This window comes from Homo sapiens, chromosome 5, assembly GCF_000001405.40.
Source record: "Homo sapiens chromosome 5, GRCh38.p14 Primary Assembly".
NCBI classification, from domain to species: domain Eukaryota; kingdom Metazoa; phylum Chordata; class Mammalia; order Primates; family Hominidae; genus Homo; species Homo sapiens.
In genome coordinates, this window is record NC_000005.10 from 141,034,041 (window position 1) to 141,060,485 (window position 26,445).

Genomic DNA, 26,445 nt, shown 5'->3' on the forward strand with positions numbered 1-26,445 from the left:
CTTGAGTCAGAATCTGATTTCCAGGACTTTTTTTTTTTTTGCTAACTTGAGGTGTAATATTGGACATTCTACTTTTCTGGCCTTCAGTTTCCTTATATGTAAAATTAAAACTATACCGGGTCTCTCTTTTGCACAGAAAAAAAATTATAATTTAAACTCTGCATAACACCTAATTATGTGTTTTCATTTACCTCTTCCACACCCAGATTTCCAGGAATAATAAGAGAATGAATCATCAGTTAGGTGTTATCTTGAGTTTATTAAATCTTAGAAAAATTGAATTTCTTTCAGTTATACTCAGAGCATATTAGAAATAAAGCATCACTTATTAAATATTTCTTGATAAATTATTATATTCATCATGATTCATATTATGGAATTGGAATAAGAGGAAATGCTTAATCTGTACAGAAACCCCTTAGAGCCTCATGAGAGTGAATTAATGAAAAATTGGAGTGGTTAGGCAATCTTGGAAGAGTTAGAGAATAATACTTTTAAAATGTTCGAAAATTATCTGAAAAGAATTTCAAAAATATTACTAAAATTGATTATCACCTTATGATAGTGCTTATCTGTATTAGCTAATATTTCTCTAATTATTATATATTATATAATATTTTTGTAATTTATATATTGTATATTTTTATAATTTATATATTAGGTAATATATTTTTATAATTTATATATTATATATTTTTATAGTTTATATATTATATAATAGAGAAATATTAGCTAATACAGATAAGCACTATCATAATATTTATTAGCTAATGAATACTGATTACTACACAAAAATAAATAGCCTTTACAAGCAAAAAATAAAATCTGACAATGAATAATCAATTTTTAAGGTGGTTTGAAGGTCACTAAGAAGTATTAAAGCAAGTCACCCTAAAGGAGAGAAAAATAATGATAAATTTTATTCCCTTTTCCACAGTGTTCTTCAAATGCACTATCCTTTCATTGCTTCTAAATCTTTGTACAAGCTTTTTGCAATTGTTTTCCTTCCTCTTTGCTTAGATAACTCTTCATCTTTCAGAGCCCAGCCTTTCCCAGCCTCCCATTTCCCATCTGTAGTTTTGAGTTCTTCTATTACCCTGTATTCTTATGCTGGCGGTCTGTAACATATTTGCTGTAACAATTTTTTTGTCTGTCTTACCCATTAGGATCTAAGTTTTGTGAGGCTAGGATGGGATCCATCTCATTCGACATTACATTTTCTGACTCCAGGAGAGGCCAAACATAGGAGATGCCTAATAATATTTAGTAACTGAATGACTAGAGTGGTGATTGAGTGTTAGGTAAAAAACAATCTTTAGAAGAGAAGTCCCTTGATTGAACAATGCTGTGGAAAAGAGCTGGCTCAGGTGACAGCATTCTAAAGCTCCTTTACTGGGCCCATCAGATGGAACTGAGCTTTGTAGAGTGGACAATTTGCAAGATTAGGAGACCTAGTAATTACAACAATTATTGGAAACAGCCTCATCATGGTACAAACACAAGTAATAAAAGAACTCTTTTGCAAACATCAGTGCATCATATGGAGTCCTCAGTAAAATAGGAAGTTTAACAAAGAGCTCTTCACAAAGGAAGCTTATTTTTCTATTTTGAGGCCCAGAGTAGGTATTTGTAATATCTCAGAAGAAGGGAAGAATTTAAAACTATTATTTTCATTGTTACAAATCATAGAATTAAATAGTATCTTCAGAGCTATGAAGAAATTATGACTCAATATTCCCTTTAGGCAGCCATCATTACAGTAAAACAATCTATATACTTTGATCTACTAATACTAAGAAATAGTGAATTTAGAAGTTAATTAATTATATGCATATAGACCATCAATCTTAGCAATTCATATGACCTCTACTTCAAGTAGCATTATTTACAATGAACTCAAGCTCTGTAATATTTTCATAATGGATTATCATATTAGATCAGGTTTTTATTTTACTACTTCATTGAATCTGCTCTGCCAAGGTCACAAGAGGTTTCCATCTTTCTATCTCAAGCCTCATTTTACTAAACTAAAGCAGTATTTCCTTTCTCCTTCAAACAGTTTCTCCACATGGTTCTCAGGGGACATTCTTTCCTGGATTTCCTCCTACCACACTGGTCATTCCCTCCTTCAGTCTCCTTTGCTGGCTTCTTTCCATTTTCTAGACCTCTAAAGCTGATGTGTGCTAGGATTCACCATCTTCTCTATCTACGTGAATTTTCCAGGTGACCTCATTTCATTGCTTTATAGTTTTCCTAATCTTTACTTTAAAATTCATATTTGTAGATATAGTATCTCCTCTAAGTCCCCAGATCCAAATATTCATTTGCCCACTTGATATGACTTAGATGTTTAACAAGCATTTTAAATTTAGCATGTCCAAAATAAAATTGTTGATTTTTCCATTCCAAAACTAACCCTAACTTTCCTCATGTTAGTAATGACACCACCAATCACTAAGATATTCAAAACAGAGAGCATTCTTTTTTTATTATTTCATTTTCCATTAAATCCATCATGAAATCATGCCAATTAAAAAAAAAAGTTCCAGACCCAACCAATTTTTTAAACTTCTTCAGCACCCCTACCCTTGTACAAACTACCATTATCTTTGGCCTGCATTATTGCCATGAGCTTCTAATGAATTTCCCTTCTTCTACCCATACAACAGCCAGACTTATCTTTTTATAATGTAAATCAAATCTCCATTAAAAACCCTTAATTGGTTTCTCATCATCCCCCTTCTCCTTTATAACATTTGCCACTATTTCATATAATATTGTGTATCTATTTTTGGGCTCCCTAAAGGCAGGGGTTCCCTAATAATGCATACCATATATTATTGATGCTATATGCCCAGAGTCTAGTGTCTGGCACTTCATAGGTGCTCAATAAATATCTGCTGAATAAATGAATAAATTAACAAGTATTTTAAATTTTCTGGTATCTGGTATTACAACCCGGCAAAAGAGAAATAAGCAATGATTATTTGATGACAGATAACTGTTTTTCTAGCTACATCATAGGATCAGACTTACAGCCCCATGTACCATATTTTTTCTCATGTGACTGTAACAAATTCTAACTCTTTATTCTAGAGTATTTTTGCTTCAGCTTCATGAGTCCTATGATGTGCTATTTTCCATGAAGTGGCAATTTATGAACTATCCTTTTAACGCCAATAAAACATAAAGTTATATTATGAAGATATATGTATATACATATATGAAGCTATATAGGGTAGAGTGTAAATTTTTACAATCAATTTACAGATATGGGCCTATATGACATATATGGGCCCATATCTGTAGGCATGATTTTTTATAGTGAGTTAGTATGATGGAGAAGTTGAAAAAAATCTATGCTAATATCTCTTCAGAAATTTCTCTACTGCCGAGACATAATATATATTTTTATATGAGCAAGAACGATAAAAAGCAAACAGGGCTGTTAAGTATCAAAGCAGAGTCTAAATTTTTATAATTTACTTATTATTTCCACAAATTCCTACTGAACCCCTACAATGTACCAATTATCATGCTAAGCACCAGGAAAACAGAAGAGAACAGGACAGATACGGTCTCTGCTCTCACTAGAATTTACATTAGAGTGGAGAAGTTAGACAGTGAACAAGTAAACAAATATATATAAAGTTATTTAAAATTGTGATTAGTGCTCTACCAAAATAAGCATAATGTTATAATCAATAAAAGAAGTGCACTGTGGCAGGTAGAATAATGTCCCCCTCAAAGATGCCTACATCCTAGTCCTGACGCCTGTGAATATATTACATAGCAAGGGGAAATTAACATTGTGACAATTTGTCACGGCAGCAAATAGAAAAATAACCCAGAGATTTTAGATGGGAGTCAAGGAAAGCTTCTTTAAAGAGACGTCATTAATCTGAGTTGACATATTAGAAGGAACATGTCATGCAAAGAGCTGGTGATAACCCACTCCAGGTAAAGAAAACAGCAAGCTCAAGGACCCCAAGACTGAAAAGAGATTGATTAATGTTCTAGGAACTGTTGGAAGGTCAGGGCAATTGAAGTGTGGTAATTGAGGGAGGAAGTGGTTAATAAGATTGGAAATTTAGATAGGATTTGTTTATGCAGGGCCTTGTAGGCCATATTAAGGAATCTAGATTTTACTCTCAATGCAATGGGAAGACATTGAATTGTTTTAAGCATGGGTGCAACATAATCTGTCTTATGTCTTTTAAACAAACTATCACATGTACTCCATAAATACATACAATTTGCATCAGTAAAATTTTTTAGTATATTTTTATTGCAATATACCATACTTAATATGCACAAATCATAGTGTGCAGTTTAATAGATTTTTGCAGTGAATACACTCATGTCAAGAAATAGAATATTACCAAATCCTGAAGTCTCCCTCATTCCCCATTCCAGTCTTTATCTCCATCGAGGCAACCACTATCCTCACTTTAATCATCTTAGGGTAGTTTATACAATTATTGAGCTTTAAATTAATAGAATCATAGAAAAATTTGTTTCTGATTTTTTTCCTGCTAAACATTGCATTATGTCTGTGAGGCTGATACATATTGTTGCATGTAGTAGTTTTTAAAAAATTGTCATTGCTGTGTATGTTACTGTATATGGCAACAACAACATCTTTATCCATTTGGATTGCTTCCAGGTTTGAGCTATGATGAACATTCTTGTCTATGTCTTTTTGTACATACACGTAGGCATTTCTGTTGGATGTATACCTAAGAGTGCATATCTACGGGTATGTTTTATTGAACTTTAGTAAATTGCTGCCAGCTTTTCAGAGTGATTGTAACAATTTACACTCCACCAGTACTGTGTGATAGTTGGAGTTGCTTCATCCTTTCCAAGGCTTGAAAATGTCAGCTTTTATTATTTATTTATTTAGCCATGCTCTTGGATGGATACAGGCTTTTAGTTGTGGCTTAAATTTCCATTTCTTTAACAGTTAAGGATGTTGTAAACCTTTTCATATGCTTATTGGCTATTTGGATATTCTCTTTCATTAAGTGCCTGCTCACTGACTTAGTACTTAGGTTTTAAAAAGATAATTCTTGTTTCTATGGGGAGATTATATTAGCCAATACTACTAGGCACTTGTTTGGATCTTGAAACAACATGAATAAATTTTGGGTGTATGCACTGGAAATTTACAAGTGCTCTTTTACAGGGGAAATGCTACAGAAACACAGGTGTGCTGCAAAACACCATGACAGTGCAATTTATCTGTAAAATTGGCCATGAAACTGTGAGTCAAATCATGCATTCTGAAAAGTGTTGATCTATCTTAAGATATCTTACTGTTGTCCTCTCCAATACCAACTCCAAGGGAATATAATACTATCTTATGAATTGAATTTATTAATAAAATGGTGTCCTTTAAACACAAGCACTACAGAAATTTAATGACTGAAGGAGAGAAAATGCAATACTGCATAAAATTTAGTTTAGTGCCTCCAGAAAAAATTAATTTTACTAGTTTGAAACCGAGTTAGACGAATTCTGAGACATAAATATGTGAAGGAGAAAGGACATGCTGAATTAATGGGAGTTCTGGCTGCCTGCCAGGGGGATTCTACAAAGTCTTACAATACAAAGTAAATCATCCCTCTGGAGCAAGTGGTATGCCCCTCCAGAATGAGGAGGGCTCCGCCCAACAATAAATTAACTTTGTACAGCATGCTTTATTGCTCTGCAATGCATTCTGGCAGGCTTGCTTTCATTGTCTCTTCCCTTGGGCTGGCTTGCTTTGCTTGTCTTTTAAAGATGACTCAGCCAAACTTTTAGTCTTTGCCCTCATCTTCTCCCTTTCCCTACTCCTCATCCTCCAATTTTTCTTCCCAGAAAGGCAAAGCCAGAGCAGAGCCCCTCCCTTTTGGTTATTGTTCCAGCTCACTGAGTATTGGCCCTGAGACGTAAACGGTTTCTTTCCTCTTTTCCAACTTCATGGTTTACATTCATTTTATTAGGCTACCTCTGGCCCTCTCAGTTCTCTGAAGCTAGTGATCCTAAATATCTATGGCGTCTGGGCATGGGGGTGCTTTTCATCCCCGCTTCCTACTGCAACAACCCCTGCAATCCCCTCTGCAGCCCCAAGCAAGGAGATCCGTGTCGTCAGGAGTGCGGTGCAGCCACACATCCAAGGCTGACAGGGCGGGCACTCTGCCAAGTCCTGCGCGCTGCTCGCCTTCCACAACACCTTCCTCAGCTTCGTCTGTATTTGAAGAGCTTAGTAAATTAATTTCCCAGGGGCAGAGAAGGGAGGAAGAGGGAGTGTCTGAGGGCTGAAAAATGCAGTCGACTCGCCCTCTGCTGGTTAAAGATCCGAATTTGTCGCCGCCAAAACAACGGGGAATGAGAAAGCAATCCATATGGTACGGAAAAATTACAACAAAAACTCGGCTTAATTTAACCCACCTGTGAACCTTAACTGCCTACTGTTCCTCTTTAGCGCTGCTTACTTCCCCAGCACTGAGATTTAATTAGATTGATTCTAAACGCTAGCCCCTGAACTCATTTTCATTTGCCCCTGGTTTCTGCCGTTCTAAAACGCAAATAATCCCCACCCACAAGTTCTCTTCTTGTCTAATTAGTCGCTAAGCAACTGAAGATAACAACTAAACCATTACTTCTAGAACACACTCGTGTTTCACTCCAGTGTCTTTGCCTTAAATAGTAATTTCAAGCGAACAACAACAACAAAAAAATCAGCTGCTGTTTGTGTTTCCGAGATTAATTAATTGGAAATCGAGAAAAAGCAAATGTAGTCCGTCCCAGTGCTGGTGTCTTAGGAAAGCTGACAGGCAGCTTTGTGCAAGCCGAGGTATTGGCCGCCATAACGCACACTGACTTTTGTACCGCCTTTGCTGTCTTACGCATTTTGTCGGAATAAACCAACACACGGAGGTTGGGTAATCTAGCCCCTTTACCCTGTACAGCAAGACAGCATTTACGAGTCACTGAGATTCTGGAGAGTAGAGAGAGAAAAACAACCACAGGATTTTGCAATATGGTGTATTATTTAATATCAGTCTGTTCCTCCTCCAGGCTAAAAATCCCAAAACAAGGGGTTCCTACCCCCCTCCACCTCTGGCATTGTAAATTAGCCAGTCACGCGACCCTTGGAACCAGTTGGGATTGGCCATTTCCTTTGTGTGGTGAAAATCTCTGCAGCGAGTCATGGGACCGAACTGGGCGGTGTCGCTGTCCGTGGCCATGGTGCTGAACTCTGGGCGTGGCCAGAGAGATTTCCTTTACATGACAGCTTCCGGTAGGGCGGGGTCGGGGTCGCGTTCCGAAAAGTGGATCCACCTGCCACCTGGTGGCAGATGAGGAAAATGCTATTGATAAAGTGTAAAGGGTTCTTTGGATTAAGACTTAAAACTTAAAAGACACAAATTGAAGATTTGGGGCGTCAGGAAGTGGTTTTTTTGAGAGATCTGCCTATTTTTAAAGAGAAATGGAAAAATTTAGAATTTTCAGAGTGATCTCTCGCTTCTACTCAAAATAATTTACGAATATGTTTAAATTTCTCCAAGCATTTTTTCCAACACATCTTGTAATCAAATAGGTATTTTTAAAGTATCTGTATATATAGGTATTTAGAAATATTTACTAAAACTTCCACAGGGTATATTTTACTGAAAGAAATACTAAGGAAGCACTATGTTGTTAGCCAAAAATATTCCAGGAAGCTTAGCCGAGAGTGCTACTCTGATCTCAGTTTCTGGAAGATGAAAAGTGTGACTATATTTAGGAATTGGTAAGAGGTGGTGGGAATTCTAGGATGAAAACTCTTGTTTTTTATTTTTTCCAAGCCTAATACATAAACTATCAGAGTGCTAAAAATACAGAAAATTTATGGTATGTTTATTACTTTTAGTCTGTGTATATTATTTACACTATTTTACACAGTGATGATTAAGTTACTGTGAATTACATACATCCAGCTTCAGAGGAGGAAACCTTAAGTTGCTTTGTAAGTACAGATCTTGATAAATAGCAAGAAAAAATAGGGGAAATACCTTGTTCAAGTGTTGTTTCAGAGTCTTACTGTATGTTCAGGTGTATGGGTTACAGTGTAAAATCAATTCTAGCAAGTTGAGAGTGAAATAAAATTCTTTCCCAAGCAAACAATCTTACCACTCTCAGAAAAAAGACCCATCCCAGGGCACATTTGGTTTTATAAGTCAACCAGCCCAGTTAGTATTTCCTTTTCTTATAGCTATTTTCTCATTTACTCTTCTATGGGTCTTAACATAGAATAAAAATATAATAGCATAGTTACTTAACATAAAAGTTACCATTTCTGTTTTAAGGTTTAAAACAAAATTTTGTTGAATAGATATTAATTTCAATAAAAATGTAGGTACTGATTTTGGTGTTAACTGAATTTTCTATAAAAAGGAGAAATTGATAAGTGCTTATCAAGGGAAAGAATTATCACTCTAATATAGTCTCTATTTGATTAAATTGAGACGTTTCCAAACACTTGTCAGATTTCCTGGAAAGACATCCATAGCCTGTTCTACCAATATGAAAAAAAGCATGAATAGTAAGAAGATGAAAGACATCTGTTTTAAACAAGAGTGTACTACAAATCCAGTCTATAAGTGGTATTGGTTTATATTATGGCTTCTTGTGTTACTGTGGGAGAAGGAAACTTTATACGCACATGCACAGGTTGAGCAATAAGAGGCATTCTCATTTAAAGCAACAGATGGGAGATCAAGAGCAGCTGCAATAAACTGAGCTGCCTAAAAAGGACTTCTATCCACCAAAGCATCCTGTTTCTGCTAATATGAATAAGAAACCTTAAAAGCATGAAAAGACACAATGGAAGAATAAAATTTTAAAATAGTACTAAAGTTTACAACTGCAGGTGTGACCTCAATGTTTCAAAATACACCTACTCCTAAAAATAGACTTTTTTTTTCAGGCTTAAAAGGTATATATGAATGAAAATTAGAGGTGACCCCAAATATTAACCTGCCTGTTAAAATTACTATTACAATAAATATTATCAATATTAAAATTTTAAAACTACCTGAACTTTGGGTACAATAGTAGAAGCAACAAATCAGAAGAGATGCTCCAATATTTTAGTTAAGGTATTTTTTTTCTAAAAGAAGTTGAAAATAGTGAAAAAATTATCATCAGAACAATTTCAGAAACATTTAAACCTATGACTTAAAGATGAATAAAAATAAACAATACATTTTACATTAATGTTAGAATCAATTTTGATCTAAACTAATTTTATAAGCAGAAAATGTAGAGTCTTAAAGGAAAGAACATTGGGTAAAAAGAATTTGTTATTCAATATGCGACTAAGTACATTTCTCTTGCCTCCCTGAGTGGATTTTCAAAAAAGTTAATTAGCACTTAGGTAATAGTGTAATAATTCCAAAATTCTTTAATGTATATCTTGAGATTTATTTTGATGGGTAAATATATTGATGCTGTTGTGAACTAAGGCTTCTCACTTTGGGACAAGGAAAATACAAAATATGAAGTAGGGGAGGAAAATAAAGATATCTGTATTAATGTATTGAAAGTGTAAGTCTCATGATCCCATATAGATATACGTATGCACATACACTTATACTATATATATATATACAAATATGTATTTATTCAAGGCAAGGATCATTCATGGATGTTGGAAATCAATGGTTAATAAAATTGTTTTGGGAATAGCATATCCTCGTAGTTTCAAATCTCTCCACAGATCACTAATTAATTATAAAAAGAATTAAAAGGTACCTATCCAACTGAAAAATTTGATGGACACCATTTTATAACCAAATTGCCAAACTTAATATCACCAGTGATGGAATAAAATGACATCATATGCCCTCTGATGTGATACATTGAGAAGAACACAATATCACTTATGTGGTATTTTTGCAAAAATATTTAACCTCAATCTAACCAAGGGTAAACACAACAAAAAATTCCAAATTGAGGGATATACTGTAAAACAACTCTTTAAAAACATCAGTGTCGATCATTAGAGAAATGCAAATTAAAACCACAATGAGATACCCTCTCAAACCAGTCAGAATGGCTATTATTAAAAAGTAAAAAAATAACAGATGCTGATGAAGTGTCAGAGAAAAGGGAGCACTTATACACTGTTGGTAGGAGTGTAAATTAGTTCAACCATTGTGGAAAGCAATGTGGTGATTCCTCAAAGAGCTAAAATCAGAACTACCATTTGACCCAGCAATCCCATTAGTGGCTATATACCCAAAGAAATATACATCATTTTACCATACAGACACATGCACACAAATGTTCATTGCAGCACTATTCACAATAGCAAAGGCATGGAATCAACCTAAATGCCCATCAATAACAGATTGAATAAAGAAAATGTGGTACATATACACCATGGACTACTATGCAGCTATAAAGAAGAACCAGATCATGTCTTTTATGGCAACATGGATGGAGCTGGATGCTATTATCTCTAGCAAACTAATGTAGGAACAGAAAACCAAATACTGCATGTTCTCATGTATAAGTGGGAGCTAAATGATGAGAACTCATGGACCTAAAGAGGGAGAATAGAGACTGGAGCCTACTTGAGGGTAGAGGGTGGGAAGAGAGAGAGGATGAGAGAAAATAACTATTGGGTACCAGGCTTAGTACCTGAATGATGAAATAATCTGTACAACAAACCCCTATGACATGAGTTTACCCGTATAATAAAACGGCACATGTACCCCTGAACCTACAATAAAAGTTTTTTTAATAAATAACTAACTAAATAAAAACAGCGGTGTCATGAAAAAGAAGTTAGTGTCATTAAAAAACAGCATCATAAAAATGTTTTCCCTGTTTCAGTTTAAAGTAAACTAGAGAAACATAACAACTAAAATCAATGTGCAATCCTTGATTGTATCCTACATTAAAAAAAAAAAACCAGCACAAAGAACATACTTGGAACAACTGGGGAAATTAGAATATGAAGTATGTATTAGATAATAGCACTGTATTCATGTTAAACTTCCTGAGTGTGATAATTTGTATTGAGGTTATGAAGGATACTGTCCCTGTTTGTAAGAGGTACCTGTTGAGATATTTAGGAATGATATCATAATGTCTACAGCTAACTATGCCAAAATAAAATGTTTACATATTACATAGGTTAGCTATTGTCATAGAATGTAGTGCAACAAAATACTTCAAAAATTAGTAGCTCAAAGCAACATTGATTCCCATTGATGCATCTTGGGGTCAGAAGATTTAGGCTGAGATCAGCCATGCTCCGCTTCAATATGTAGGTTGTGTCCAGTGCTGTTCCACGTGTCTTTCATCACTCTTTTATCAATAGACTATCCAGAGAATGTTCTTATGAAAGTAGCAGAAGAGCAAAAGGACAAGCCCAATTATGCAAGCACAACTTGCTTCACTCTGTGTATTAGTTTCCTTAGGGCTTCCACAAGAAATGACTACAAATTGAGCAGCTTAAAACAGTGGAATTTTATTCTCCTGCAGTTGTGGAGGCTAGACGTCCAAAATCAAGAAGTCAGCAGGGTTCCACTCCCCCTGAAGGCATAGAGGAAGATCCTTCCTTGACTCTACCAAGTTTCTGGTGGTTGTGGACAATCCTTGTAGCAGCATCAGTCCAACCTCTGTCTCTGTCATCATGTTGCCTTCTTCCCTATGTGTGTCCATGAGTCTCCAAAATCTCTCTCCTTATAAGGACATCAGTCACTGGATTTGGGGCCCACCCTAATCAAGTTTGACTTCATTTTAATTTGATTACATTTGCTAAGACTCTGTTTCCAAATAAGGTCACATTCACAAGAACCAGTGGTTAGGATTTCAACATATCTTTCTGGGGGACAAATTCAACCCACAACACTCTTAACGTCCCATTGAGGGCCAAAATAACTCATATGGCCAACTCCAAAGTCAAGAGGTAGGGAAGTATAGTGAACCCAATGTAAAGTCAAAGCATATCATGCAGCTAAACTCAGCACCATTGGAGTGAAGAGGTATACATCTCCCATAAAAACTGTGGAAGAGATAACTATTTTTGAATAATGTATGTGCATATATAATGTATTACATAATATAGTAATAGATAAATATGAAAAAGAAAGTGTACAAATGTAGCAAAATTGATAAATCTAGGTGAAAGTAATATGGTCATTTATTATTATATTCAATGAAAACAAATCTGGATTTAGGTAAGGAGCAGCTTTATTCAAAAAAGACTATTACAGACCCTCTGACCATGGAAATCTTCAAATGTCTAAAAATCAAATTTTAAAAAAAGAGTTTAAAAAAGAAGACGTAAACAGGGCTAGCAGGAACTTTGTGTGGGAGCAGGGCAAAGGGGGTAGGATGAGCAGATGGCATGATCAGGGCACTTTAACTGGAGATATGATTTTCCCTCCTGTGGTTGGCCAGTTCTCAGAATAAACTGTTAAGTGGGAGATGTTCTGCTTTTTAGAGCTTGCTCAAGTTTTGGGGCCAGCTAAAGTTCAGGGACCTGTGGGGAGAAGAGAAGCCTTATTAAAGTTTAGTTAAGGTAAGCCAATGGGTAAGTCATAAGTGATTACAAACACTCTTGTAACTCTTCCAAAACTCTGAAATATTTTGAAATAAGATTTTTGAAGTTTAAAAGTTAGTACTAAGATACAGTTTTGAAATGAATTTTTGTTCTCCCAAAACTTCATGATATCCTACTAACTGTGGGTTGTCCCTCTTCCCAACATGTAGGTTTTGATCCTGACTTTACAAGCTACGACGCTGTAGATTTAGTCTGTGGGTTCCCAATTTTACCTTCACCAGAAAGTATACAGGCTTAAAAAAAAAAAAAAAACTGCCACCATGTTTAAAGGTCCTAACATTTTCCAAGGAAAAAGAAAATATTTTGGATTTTAATTCCATCTAGCAGATATTAATAAATCGCCTGGGGCTAACCAAACAGATTAAGATTCAGAGGAACTGAATTGAAAAGCAGCATTTCTGTGCCTGGCTTATTTCACTTAACATAACGTCCTTCATGTTCATCCATGTTGTGACAAATTGCAGGATTTCCTTCTTTGTGAAGGCTGAAGAATATTCCATTATGTACATATACTACATTTTCTTTATTCATTTACCCACCGATGGGCACTTAGGCTGATTCCATATCTCAGCTATTGTGAGTAATATTGCAATGAACATGGGAGTGCTGATATCTCTTCAACATACTGATTTCATTTCCTTTGAAAATATCCCCAGTAGTGGGATTGCTGGATTCTATGGTAGATCTATTTTTAATTTTTTGAGGACCTTCTATACTGTTTTTCATAATGGTGTGACCTCATTTATACGTGGAATCTTAAAAAGTTGACCTCATAGAACTAGAGAGTAGAATGGTGGTTGCCAGGGGCTGGGATGAGGAAGGAGAGGTTGGAGAGCCAAAAGGATACAAAATTTCAGTTAGGAGAAATAAGTTCAAAAGATCTATTATTCAACATGGTGGCTATAGTTAATAACAATGTACCATATTCTTGAAAAATGCCCAAGACATGGATGGTAAATATTCTCACCACAAAAATAATAACTACGTGAGGTAATATATATGTTAATTAGCTGAATTTAGTCATTCTACAATATAAATATGCTACAAAATACTATGTTGTCTATGATTAATTTTATCTGTCAGTTAAAAATAAACTAACAAAAAAAAAGAAAATAAAAAAAGAAAAGCAGCATTGCTTAAACTTCACCTCATAAGAATTTTTTTTGTTTTGAGACAGATACTGACTCTGTCACCCAGGCTGGAGTGCAGTGGTACAGTCATAGCTCACTGTAACCTCAAGTTCCTGACCTCAAGCAATGCTCTCCCCTCAAGTAACTGGGACTACAGGCTTTGTCACCATGCCTTATTTATGTATGTATGTATGTAGAGACAAGGGTCTTGCTATGTTACCCAGGCTGGTCTCAAACTCCTGGCCTCAAGTGATCTTCCTGCCTCAGCCTCCTAAAGTACTAGGATCACAAGCATGAGCCACCACACCCAGCCAAGAATGTATTTGTTAACTTACAATTTTTTTGATGAATTATTTTGAAATTGATTGTATTAAGACTTCCTAGGATGTCAGAAGCTTCTGCATAATTTGTGAATCACTAAATAAATATTTCCTTTTAAAAAAAACCTCCCCAATAGCCTTTTTGATGATGCTAAATAACATTAGTGGGTAGTATACTCCATTTTTTTTTTCTATCGAAATTGCTCAAGGCTATTCTCTGTTTATGTATATTGACTAAGCATAAACATCTTTTTTAATATATTCAGGACTCATAGAACATAAAGAAGTAATAGAAATTAATAGAAAAAAAGGTAAACAATGCAATGTTAAAAAAAGGCAAGAGAACTGAACAAAAACTTCCCAAAAAATGATATTCCAATGACTACAAATATATTAAATAGTGTCTACTTCATCAATAATTAATGAGAAATGCAAATTAATCAGTGAAATGTAAACACAGTCACTCACCAGAATGGTCAAAATTTTAAAAGACTAGTAATTCTAAGTGTTGGAAATAATTTGAGCAACTAGAAGTTGCACTGCTGATGAGAGTGTAAATCAGTACAACTTTTTTTTTTTTTGGATGGCGTCTCACTCTGTGGCTCAGGCTGGAGTGCAATGGCGCGATCTCTGCTCACTGCAACCTCCATCTCCTGGGTTGAAGTGATTCTCCTGCCTCAGCCTCCTGAGTAGCTGGGATAACAGGCACGCACAACCATCCCTGGCTAATTTTTGTATTTTCAGTAGAGACGGGGTTTCACCATGTTGGTCAGGCTCATCTTGAACTCCTGACCTCATAATTGGTCTGCCTCGGCCTCTCAAAGTGTTGGGATTACAGGCGTGAGCCACCACGCCCAGCCAGTACAACTTCTTAGAAAGCAGTTTGGTGACATCACGTAAAGCTGAAAAGAACATATCCTATGATATCAATGCTACTTCTATGTATATATTCCCCCCCAAAATATGTGTATACATGTGCACAAAGTGACACGTACAATGATATGCTATGAGCAGCAGAATAATAAAATAGGTAAATGCATTTTGCTGCATTCATACTGAAAAAGACAAAAGCAGTCCACGAGAGCTAGGAGCTGGCCTGACACTCACAGCTAGGACATAGTGATCTTCTGTTGAACAAAAAATGATTTCATAGGACACCAGTATCAGACAAGGCCATACCATGACTATGATGGAGCAAGAGGAAAATGAGAGCACACCATAAGTGTGTCTAAATACAGACAAAAAAGAGTATTGTCCAATCCACAAAAATGCCCAAACATCTTTCTGTCCTGGCTAGTATTAGTCACTTCAGCTTACTTACCAATCACAGAGTTAGCCTCACCCCTTTCCTCTCACCTTCTACATAAGAATTATCAATATACTCATCATAGAGTTAACTCCACTTATGATGACATCCAATCCAGAGCACTCTGCTTCAAACCTCCCCCAAATCATCTAACACAAGACCAAATATATGTTCTTTCTAACACCGTTTCACTGAGATGCTCCATGACTCTCTATGGTGTACAGCTTCCCTTGTTATAATAAGTCAGTAAATATAACTTTGTTCAACTACAGGTGTGTGTCTGATGGTCTCTAGCTAAAGGACATTGACAATATATTGGTATTTTATACGGTAATGGAAATAAATGAACTAGAGCTAAAGATAACACCAATCTTACATTGAGCTAAAAAATGAGGGAAAGAAACAAAATTCAAAGGATTACCTACTGTACACTTTACTTGATACATAGTTTTGTTTTATTTCTACTCATACTCAAGTAAGATATATAGTTTTCAAAAGAGGCAAAACTAAACTGTTTAAGGATGCACACTTAAGCCAGGTGTTAAAATAACTGACAGAGATTGAGAGATTCATTAATTCCCTCATGTCAGGATGTAATTAATGTTCTGTACACTTTCTACTTTCATTCTTTTTTTCCTATTGGAAAATATAGTTAGATTTCCGTTAAGTGGCCATAATTTTATAGCACCTGGGACATAAAGTATTGAGCACAAATGAGAAATCAAATGTTTTAGGTAATGAGCATGAGACAGCATCAGAAGACAAGTTCTAGTTCTTACACTGCCATGAGTAGCTGTATGAATTGGGCAAGTGACTTCATCACTTCGGGCCTTAGTTTCTTCATCTGTTTTTTTTTTTTTTTAAAGTGGAGAGTGGGTGAGAAGGAGACTGGATCTCATCTTTCTGAAATGTCTTATTAAACATTCTATTATCCTATGATCATAAAGGAAACTCAACAAATATCTCCTATATTTCTATTAGGTCATTTTCAATATGTGTAAGCAATCTTATTTTATTTGCTTTAAAATCCAAAACCAAATATTTATCTTCATTTGATTTATTCATTATATTATCTGGGAAGCAGAGTAGTGTACTGATTAAGAGCATAGACTTCGGAGTCAGACAAAATTAAATTGAGTTTTATTTCTAACATTTGCTAGGTAGGGGACCTTGACATAACCTCTCCCATCTCACTTTCTTTGTCTTTTTTTTTTTTTAATAATGTCTACTCCATATAGTTGTTGCAAGTATTAAATTAAATAATGCATGTAAATCACTTGTCATAGTCTCAGTACATGGAAATCATATCCAATAAATACTACTGCCATTATAATCATAAGTGACAAGCCAGCTGCTCCCTTTGTGCACGTGTATACAGATATTTGGAGGGGGGCGGAGCGAATACGTAGAAGTAGCATGATAGCGTAGTGCAAATCAAGAGGTCAGTTGGCTTAGTCCCCTGTCAGTGTACTTACTGGACCTCAAGTTTCTGAAGGAGAATGTCTGTTCCCATTCCTTTTCCTACTGACCACTTCCTCCACATTCTCTAGCTCCCTGCCTCATATATTTGGCTTGGGCTTCGGAAGACTCTGCAGGATCCTTGTGCTTCTTTCTTGGTCTCTGGATGGACCGCAGAGTGTGCAGATGTAGCTTAAACTTGTTGCTGTTCGCCCACAGCTTCAGTGGCTCCAGACAGCTAGCAGATAGAATGACTTCAGCTTGAACGACTAATCTCATTGGCTTCTCAATTCCCAAGGACTTTTTTTCCTGAAAGGGAATTAACAGGTGAGTCTGTTGTTGCTTTGGCAACAAACTTTCAACCTCTACCTAACTCTCCGGAATGAGAACATATCTATTAATACATTCGCTAGACTGGGGAGTTGAGTCGCTCAATGCAAATTTTCTTTCAAGTGCAAAACAGCTTAATGGGCTCGGCTAGCCTTTGGTGGTGCTGCAGTTAGAGGCTAGTGAAGCGGAGAGCAGCTGTTGCAGTAACCTGTTGCAGAAAAGTGAAAGTATATCCGCAACAGTTGGCTCTGATTGCAGAGAGCGCGCTTGTGAGAACTGATGGCGGGTACGCGCAGAAAATCTTTGCAAAACAGGCAAGTGGGATCTCTTCTCATTTTTCTGTGCATATCTGTGGGGGATGCGACAACTATCCGCTATTCAGTGGCAGAGGAAATGGAGAGCGGCTCGTTTGTGGCCAACGTAGCTAAGGACCTAGGACTGGAGGTAGGGAAGCTGGCTGCGCGCGGGGCGCGGCTGGTTTCCGAGGGCAACAAAATGCATTTCCGGCTCCACCGCAAGACGGGAGATTTGTTTGTGAAGGAGAAACTGGATCGGGAGTCACTTTGTGGCAAAGCCGACCCTTGTGTTCTGCACTTTGAAGTAGTCCTGGTGGAGCCGCTGCAGTCCTTCCGGGCCGAGGTCAGGGTATTTGATATCAATGACAATGCCCCAGTTTTCCTAAACAAGGAGCCGCTTTTAAAGATTCCGGAGAGCACCCCTTTGGGTTCACGTTTTCCTCTGCAGAGCGCCCAGGATCTGGACGTGGGCCTTAACGGTCTCCAGAACTACACCCTGAGTGCCAATGGGTATTTCCACCTGCACACCCGCTTCTGCAGCCACGGGCCTAAATATGCTGAGCTGGTGCTGAACAAACCCCTGGACCGAGAGGAGCAGCCTGAAGTCAACTTGACAATTACGGCGGTGGACGGCGGGTCCCCGCCTAAGTCTGGCACAGCTCACATCCACGTGGTGGTTCTGGATGTCAACGACCACGTGCCCCAGTTCTCGCGACTGGTGTACAGAGCCCAGGTATCAGAGAACAGCCCCAATGGCTCTTTGGTGGCCACGGTGACTGCCGTGGACCTAGACGAGGGCACCAACAAAGCGATAACTTACTCTTTAGCTCAAAACCCAGAAGCAATTCTCAAGACGTTTCAGATTGACCCTCAAAATGGAGAAGTTCGACTAAGAGGACCCCTCGATTTTGAAGCCATTGAAACATACGACATTGACATTCAAGCTACAGATGGTGGAGGCCTCTCTGCCCACAGCAAAGTCCTGGTAGAAGTGGTGGATGTGAATGACAATCCTCCCGAAGTGATGGTCTCCTCTGTGTCCAGCCCACTCCCTGAAGACTCACCACCACAGACAGTAGTAGCCCTTTTCACTATCAGAGACCGGGACATTCGAGTGGGAGGAAAAGTCACCTGCTTCCTCAGAGAAGACCTTCCCTTTGTAATCAAACCTACATTTGGGAATTCTTACTCACTGGTCACTGACAGAAGCTTGGATCGGGAGGAGGTCTCAGGCTATAATATCACCATTGTTGCCATGGATACTGGACCACCTAGCTTGTCTGCCGAGACTATGATAGAGGTGCTAATATCCGACGTTAATGACAATCCTCCAATATTTCGGGAAGATTCCTATATCTTGACTGTTCGAGAAAACAACAGTCCTGCGGTTTTTATTGGCAAAGTCCATGCTGAGGATCTTGATTTGGGTGAGAATGCCCAAATAACATATTCTCTGTTGCCTCCAAAAAACGGAGATCTTTCAGTCTTTGCTTACATATCCATAAATTCAGGCAATGGGAAGCTCTACGCGCTGAGAACCATGGATTATGAGGCCATTCAAGATTTTCAATTTGTGGTAAAGGCAACTGATGGGGGCTTCCTGTCACTGAGTAGCCAAGTTACTGTCAGAGTGGTTGTCCTAGATGACAATGACAATCGTCCAATGATCTTATACCCACTGCAGAACGGCACCTTGCCCTGCAATGACCTGGTGCCCAGGTCTGCAGAGGCAGGCTACCTAGTGACCAAAGTGGTGGCTGTGGATGGTGACTCAGGTCAGAATTCTTGGCTTTCATATCATCTACTTAAGGCCACTGACCTTGGGTTATTTTCTGTTCAAAGACAAAATGGAGAAATCCATACATTAAGGCAGATATCTGAGAGAGACCCCATGATGCAGAAATTGATCATTCTTGTTCAGGATCACGGCCAACCAGCTCTTTCCACTACTGTCTCACTCAACATCCTGCTGGTAGATGGCTTTTCAGAGCCCTACCTGCAGTTCCAGGATCCAACCAAGCATTCTAGAAAGGTAAATCCATCCACTAAATATTTGGTCATTTCTCTGGTCATCCTTTCCTTTCTCTTTCTCCTCTCTGTCATAGTGATCTTCATTATACATGTCTACCAAAAGATTAAATATAGAGAAAAGTTCACAATTCAAGAGCATTTCTATGATGACTGTAATTTCTCTAACAACCTGGTACAAGGACAAGGCAATGGATCCTTATCTCGGCCTTGTCCATATGAAATGTGTTCAGCCACTGGCACTGGTAATAGTGAGTTTCGCTTTCTTAAGCGTTTTATGCCCAACTTCCCTTTCCCTCATGCCACTGGGGAGATAAAAATGGAGGCTGGCTCCAGTTTGCCCCCAAATTCTGATAGGAATAAGTCTCAGAGATTAGAGGGCCATGACCAGGTATCTGATGACTATATGTAGCTCCTATTTACAGGCTCAGTGAGAGAAGAGAAGCAAAATTTTATACTTGGTATGCAAAGATGTTACATCCTCATTAAAACAAAAACTGGTAGTAGATTGCAGCTTTAGTAAAGATAAGAGTACTTAGTTTGGTGAAAATGGGAAACCTAGAGTGAGGCTAGGCTTACTCAATACAAAGCAGTTATCCTGATCCCCAGATCATATATCTATAACCCTTTCTCCAGTTGGAATTCTGTTTAAAGAAATGTCACCCTCTATAAATGCATATGTGGTAGGAACTTCTGCTTTTCCATCTCTGTGCTAGCAAGTAATGAATAAGCCATTATTCACATTTTCCTTAGAAGTTCATTGGTCCTGGCCCAGGAAATACTTAGTTCCATAGAGAGATCCTTTTATTTGCCTCTAAATTATTTTCCAGTAGAAAGTTATGCATGCATAGGGAAGAGAACTACCTTCCCTTTTTGATATATTGGGAAGTGATTAGGTTTGACAAGCAGAGATATAGTTTATTATTCAGGAATCTCTAAATTCTTGTCCCTGATGAGTGATTATCTTTGATCAATACCTTGCCTGCAATCATTCATAATCATAATCATGGAAATGCCTGGTAAATGGTGATCTTCACAAATAATCATGGTGGGAGGAAGGGTGGAGAAAGAAAAGGATTTCACTTATTTGCAAATGTGAATAAGGGCAGACATAAGGATAAAGAGATTCAGTTTAGGAATGTTCTCCAAAATTAAATTAGATGTAGTTGTTTTTTTTTTTTTTTTTTTTTTTTTTGAGACGGAGTTTTTCTCTTGTTGCCCAGACTGGAGTGCAATGGCACGATCTCGGCTCACTGCAACCTCTGCCTCCTGGGTTCAAGCGATTCTCCTGCCTCAGCCTCCTGAGTAGCTAGGATTACAGGCATGCGCCACCATGCCCAGCTAATTTTTTGGTATTTTTAGTAGAGACGGGGTTTCACCATGTTGGCCAGGCTGGTCATGAACTTCTGACCTCAGGTGATCCACCAGCCTCGGAAACCCAAAGCACTGGGATTACAGGCATAAGCCACCACGCCCAGCCAGATTTGATTTCTTGATTGTTTGGAGCCATAGGCAAGTCTCAAATCTCCCTCTTTTATATCCAGATGTCTATCCTTGCAGTCCCAGAGAAAATCTATTTGAAAAAACGGAAATGGAGGGTGGGTGAGGAAAAAAATAAAGTATGACGGCTGGGCACCGTGGCTCATGGCTGTAATCTCAGCACTCTGGGAGACGGAGGGAGGCAGATCACCTGAGGTCAGGAGTTCGAGATCACCCTGGCTAACATGGCAAAACCCTATCTCTACTAAAAATACAAAAATTAGTCAGTCGTGGTGGCACGCACCTGTAATCCCAGGTACTCAAGAGGCTGAGGCTGGAGAATCGCTTGAACCTGGGAGGTGGAGGTTGCAGTGAGCTGAGATTGTGCCACTGCACTCCAGCCTGGGCAACAGAGTGAGACGCTGTCTCAAAAACATAAAAATAAATACATAAATACATAAATACATAAGGCCTGCTGTAGTTAATAAGTGTTACAGAACACTCTAAACTATTTTGTGCCATTAAGTGTACACAACATTTATTGTAAACCATTTTGTAGTTTGTAGAGCAAATATAAAATAAAAAGACATTAAAATTAAAAAGTTCATTAATACTAATTAAGTGGCATTAAGGAAAGACACATTTTCAGGTAGTACTAGATTTGATTGTAAGCCATTTTCCTCTCTGAGTATTCTGAAGTTAACACATGCAAACTGAGAAAAAGTGGCATTTTTAGTAAATCATTCATAAAATGAAATGGAGTGGGGAGACAACTTAAGCTTCTCTTTGATCACCACTGTTTGATTTCATAAGCTATTCTGAGCCCTCTCATTCTAAAATAAGCCAATGTTAAAACATTAACATATTTCAGGGATTCTCCCAACACTGCTAACTGTGCCTTGAAAGTCAAAAGTTTGCTTTAGAGAAGGGCATGGTGGCTCATACCTGTAGTCCCAGCTACTCAGGAGTCTGAAGGAGGAGGATTGCTCAAGCCCAGGAGTTCAGGGGTGCAGTAAGCTATGATTGCACTTCTGCACTCCAGCCTGGGCAAAAGAGTGAAACCTCATCTCAAAAAAAAAAAAAGTGTGCTTTAATGAGGCTTTAATTATATTCCTTATTTTATAAAAATGTGTGTAAATTCAGACTCACTAGAATACATCCTCTTGGTATTTTAAGGGTAGAGCATTATCTTTTAAAATACTTCTTAAATATACCAAATCATGTTTATTGATACAAACTTCATTCTTGGACTTAATGACTGATACCTAATGGCACCACCTGGCTGTTTACCTGTTGGCCAGGAATACACTAAAATTTAGTGCTGTTATTTTTTAGATGTTAGAGATGCTTAGGGCAGAACTGGTGTAACCTATGGCTGCCTTCAATGTTAAAATGTTAAAGAACAGATGAAGCAAATGCACTATATCAATGAATTGCTTTTATTTTTAATATTAAATATTTTACATACATTGAGTTATGATTCCGATTTAGAGTAAAGGTTTTCTTGCACAAAACATAGAATAAGTGTTCCAGTGTATTTGTGTTCCAATTGGTGAAGGCATGCTGAAATTTCTATTTCCTTTAAATGAAAAAGGAGATAGAATTTTTATTTATTTATTTATTTTTTGGAGACAAAGTCTTGCTCTGTCACCCAGGCTGGAGTACAGTGGCATGATCTCGGCTCACTGCAAACTCCGTCTCCTGGGTTCAAGTGATCTTCCTGCCTCAGCCTCCTGAGTAGCTGGGACTACAGGTATACATTACCACGCCCAGCTAAATTTTGTGTTTTTAGTAGAGACGGGGCTTCGCCATGTTGGCATTTCGCTATGTTGGCCAGGCTGGTCTCGAGCTCCTGATCTCAGGTGATCCACCCGCCTTGGCCTCCCAAAGTGCTAGGATTACAGCACCATGCCCAGCCTAGAATTAATTTTTATGGGTAAGCAATAATTAGTTAATAAAACATGCTTAAGTAAAAGCTACTGTATTAACTGTGTTTCATTACACTTAATGATGTGAACATAATCAATGGAAACTGGCTTAATGTCAAGGATAGGAAAAGAAAATGGTGTAGATTCATGATTTTAAGACTTTGATATTCAAATAGCAGTGAAATTCATGAATACATATATACACACATACACAATGGACAGAAGATGTAGATTTGTCAACTTTTTATTTTTTCACATTAAATGAGATAAAATCTACCACTTCACGCCACCATTATTCCATAAACGAAATGGCATTTTAATATAAAAATGGTTAAGATAGGCTGGGCATGGTGGCTCACACCTGTAATACCAGTACTTTGGGAGGCTGAGGCAGATGGATCACAAGGTCAAGAGATGGAGACCATCCTGGCCAACATGGTGAAACCATGTCTCTATTAAAAATACAAAAATTAGCTGGGTGTGGTGGTATGTGCCTGTAGTCCCAGCTACTTGGGAGGCTGAGGCAGGAGAATTGCTTGCACCCAGGAGGTGGAGGTTGCAGTGAGCTGAGATCATGCCACTGCACTCCAGCCTGGCGACAAAGCAAGACTCTGTCTCAAAAAAAAAAAAAAAAAAGAAAAAAAGAAAAAAGAAAAAAAAAGGTAAGATAACAATCTCATAAAAGAAACCATCCTTTAAATTTAAAAAATGTATCGATTTAATAAAAAATTATTTTGCCACCATTTTTCTTATTTTTGCCTTAGGTGAAAATTTTGTCACTCTAATTTTATTCAGACTTCAAGTTCCCAAGAAAATTCCAATCCTACCTGATAACTTAAAATAAGAATATATCAATTCACTGAATGTGAAGTAGGCCACTTGTTTTTGGAGAGAACTCTGTACACCAGCTGAGATTAAGTCCAGGTCTCTATCAGCAAATTAAGACAAAGAATGGAAATAATTAGGGCAATTACTCTCTCCAAAGTGTCAAGTGATATTATAACTATTTCTATGTATTCAAAGCTATAACCTAAGAACCTTGAAAAGTGTCTTGTACAAAAAGGCTTTTTATTAGGAAATAATTCTAGACTCATAAAATTGCAAAAATACTATAGATAGTTCCTGTATATCCTTCACCTAACTTCCCGGAATGCTAACATCTTATATAACCATAGTAGTTATCAAAATTAAGAAATTAACCTTGGTATAATTCTATGAAGTAAACTACAGATCTTATTCAAATTTAACAGTTTTCCCCCAATGTCCTTTTTCTATTCAAGGATCCAATCCAGGATCCTGCAAAGCATTTGTTATGGCTCCTTAGTCTCTACCACCTGTGACAGTTCCTTACTCTTACCTTGTCTATCATGACTTGAGATTTTTGAAGAGTACTAGCCAGTTATTTGTAGAATGCCCCTCAGTTTGGGATTCTTTGTTTTCTCATTATTAAACTGAGGTAATGCATTATTGGGAAAAATACTGCAGAAATGATATTGTATCCTTTTCAGTGCATCACGTCAGCAGGTATGTGATGCCAATGTCACACTACTGGTGATATTAATCTTTTTTCTTTTATTGTGGTAAAGAACTTATAAAATGTACCATGTTAGCCATTTTTAAGTATGTTAGCCATTTTTAAGTAATGTTAAGGTGATGTTAATTTTGATCGCTTGGTTAACATAATGTCTGCCACGTTTCTCTACTATAAAGTTACTTTTTTCTCTTTGTAATTAATAAACACTTGGGGGATATGCTTTGAAACTATGCAAATATGATGTTTCTGCTTAAACCAATTTTAGTATCCATTGCTAGATATTTCCTGTGGCAATTAATATTGTGGCATTCTAATGGTGATTTTCTATTTCTCTATTTCCTTTTACATTAATTAAAATTCTTCTGGAAGGAAAACTTGTTACTTTCCCCCCCACTTATTTAGTTAGTTATTTCTTTACATAAGGATACCTGGATATCTCCTCTATTATTTGGGTTACAAACTAATCCTATCATTTACTTTGTTGTTCAGCAAACTCTTTTATCTGAGATGAAGAGCAGATTTTTAAGACTGGAATTATCCATATAGAATACATTTTTATCAAAATTAGTATTTCTTTGTAACTCTACATGTTAGATTATTTTAAACAATCATAAAGTAACCCCATTAAGGTTCATGCATAAAGTTTTAACTTTAAATGAAAATTATACTAACATAATTTTAAATTAGTCATACATTTTAAAATAGATATAAACTGAAAATTTTAAAATTTGTTGTGCAGACATGTTTATATAGTTTAAGCTATATATACCTGAGATACTATTTAAAAATAGACTTATATGCTGAAATTAGACTTACAGATATACAAAAAATGGAATTGGTCTGTCTGATATTATGTAATTCTCCTAAAAATAAAGAATTTCTTTATCATGTTTGTGCATTTTTTGTTGTTTTCCATTTAGGGATGAATTTGTCTTATTCTTGGAAGCATAATTCATTCATATGATTATCCCATATAAATAGCTATTTTCTGTAGAGTTTAATATCTTCAAAGTATGTGACTAAGTGGACATTCATTCTTCAACCAAAAGTCTGACTTCATTTTCAAATATGTGTAACACTTTTAAAAAACATTATTAAAGTATTTGTTGTGTTTATATAACACTGAAACAGGCCGGGCATGGTGGCTCACACCTGTAATCCCAACACTTTGGGAGGCCAAGGTGGGGAGATCACCTGAGGTCAGGAGTTCGAGACCAGCCTGGCCAACACGGTGGAAACCCCTCTCTACTAAAAATACAAAAATTAGCCAGGCATGGTGGCTCACACCTGTAGTCCCAGCTACTTGGGAGGCTGAGGCACGAGAATTGCTTGAACCCAGGAGGCAGAGATTGCAGTGAGCTCACATCATGCCACCACGCTCTAGCCTGGGCAACAGAGTAAGACTCAGTCTCAAAAAAACAAACAAAAAAACCCCCAAAAACAAACAAACAAAAAAACCACTGAAACAGAATGTGAAAAAGTGAAAGTAACAAAAGTTTTCTGGTCAAGCTGGTGAAGTAAGTTTATGCTTCTGTGTACCACGCTCTGCTCTAAATACAGCAGTAACAGGTAAAAATTAAAAATTAAAAAAAATGCGGCTGGGCGTGGTGGCTTGCACCTGTAATCCCAGAAGGCCAAGGCAGGCGGATCACCTGAGGTCAGGAGTTCGAGACCAGCCTGACCAATATGATGAAACCCCGTCTCTACTAAAAATACAAAAATTAGCCAGGTGTGGTGGCATGAACCTGTAATCCCAGCTACTTGGGAGGCTGAGACAGGAGAATCGCTTGAACCCAGGAGGCGGAGGATGCAGTGAGCCGAGATCAGGCCATTGCACTCCAGCCTGGGCAACAAGAGCTAAACTCCGTACCCCCCACTACCCGCCCCTGGCCAAAAAAAAAAAAATGCAAGGCCAGGCACGGTGGCTCATGCCTGTAATCCCAGCACTTTGGGAAGCTGAGGTGGGTGGCCAAGGTCAGGAGTTCGAGACCAGCTTGGCCAACATGGTGAAACCCTGTCTCTACTACAA

At 37.4% G+C, this 26,445-nt stretch overlaps 1 protein-coding gene, 1 long non-coding RNA gene and 1 further gene across 2 annotated transcripts in view, besides 4 other annotated features; 2 read left to right on the forward strand and 1 right to left on the reverse strand.

Moving 5' to 3' along the window:
* Positions 6,446–7,380: an enhancer, noted in NCBI's record as "H3K27ac-H3K4me1 hESC enhancer chr5:140420071-140421005 (GRCh37/hg19 assembly coordinates)". NCBI's record gives its function as "activates a minimal SCP1, AML or CMV promoter by ChIP-STARR-seq in naive H9 embryonic stem cells {active_cell/tissue: H9 hESC(naive)}" and the evidence as "EXISTENCE:reporter gene assay evidence [ECO:0000049][PMID:30033119]".
* Positions 6,446–7,979: a biological region, named in NCBI's record as "VISTA enhancer hs2610".
* Positions 6,576–7,979: an enhancer, noted in NCBI's record as "VISTA enhancer hs2610". NCBI's record gives its function as "enhancer in: hindbrain (rhombencephalon)[2/7] | midbrain (mesencephalon)[2/7]" and the evidence as "EXISTENCE:transgenic organism evidence [ECO:0001131][PMID:17130149]".
* The window catches only part of PCDHB1-AS1 (PCDHB1 antisense RNA 1), a 31,827-nt gene continuing 17,546 nt past the window's right edge, over positions 12,165–26,445 (reverse strand). Inside the window, exons 2-4 of the long non-coding RNA NR_105056.2 lie at positions 23,710–23,810; positions 16,839–17,130; positions 12,165–12,526 (exon numbers count right to left, since the gene is read on the reverse strand). This is a non-coding gene — a long non-coding RNA (PCDHB1 antisense RNA 1). The remainder of the gene's footprint in view (positions 12,527–16,838; positions 17,131–23,709; positions 23,811–26,445) is intronic.
* Positions 16,915–17,743: an enhancer, noted in NCBI's record as "NANOG-H3K4me1 hESC enhancer chr5:140430540-140431368 (GRCh37/hg19 assembly coordinates)". NCBI's record gives its function as "activates a minimal SCP1, AML or CMV promoter by ChIP-STARR-seq in naive H9 embryonic stem cells {active_cell/tissue: H9 hESC(naive)}" and the evidence as "EXISTENCE:reporter gene assay evidence [ECO:0000049][PMID:30033119]".
* PCDHB1 (protocadherin beta 1) lies at positions 17,334–25,306 on the forward strand. The gene has a single exon (NM_013340.4). It carries the CDS (start codon positions 17,431–17,433, stop codon positions 19,885–19,887), a length of 2,457 nt encoding a protein of 818 aa, NP_037472.2. The 5' UTR covers positions 17,334–17,430; the 3' UTR covers positions 19,888–25,306.
* The window catches only part of PCDHB@ (protocadherin beta cluster), a 197,972-nt gene continuing 188,880 nt past the window's right edge, over positions 17,354–26,445 (forward strand).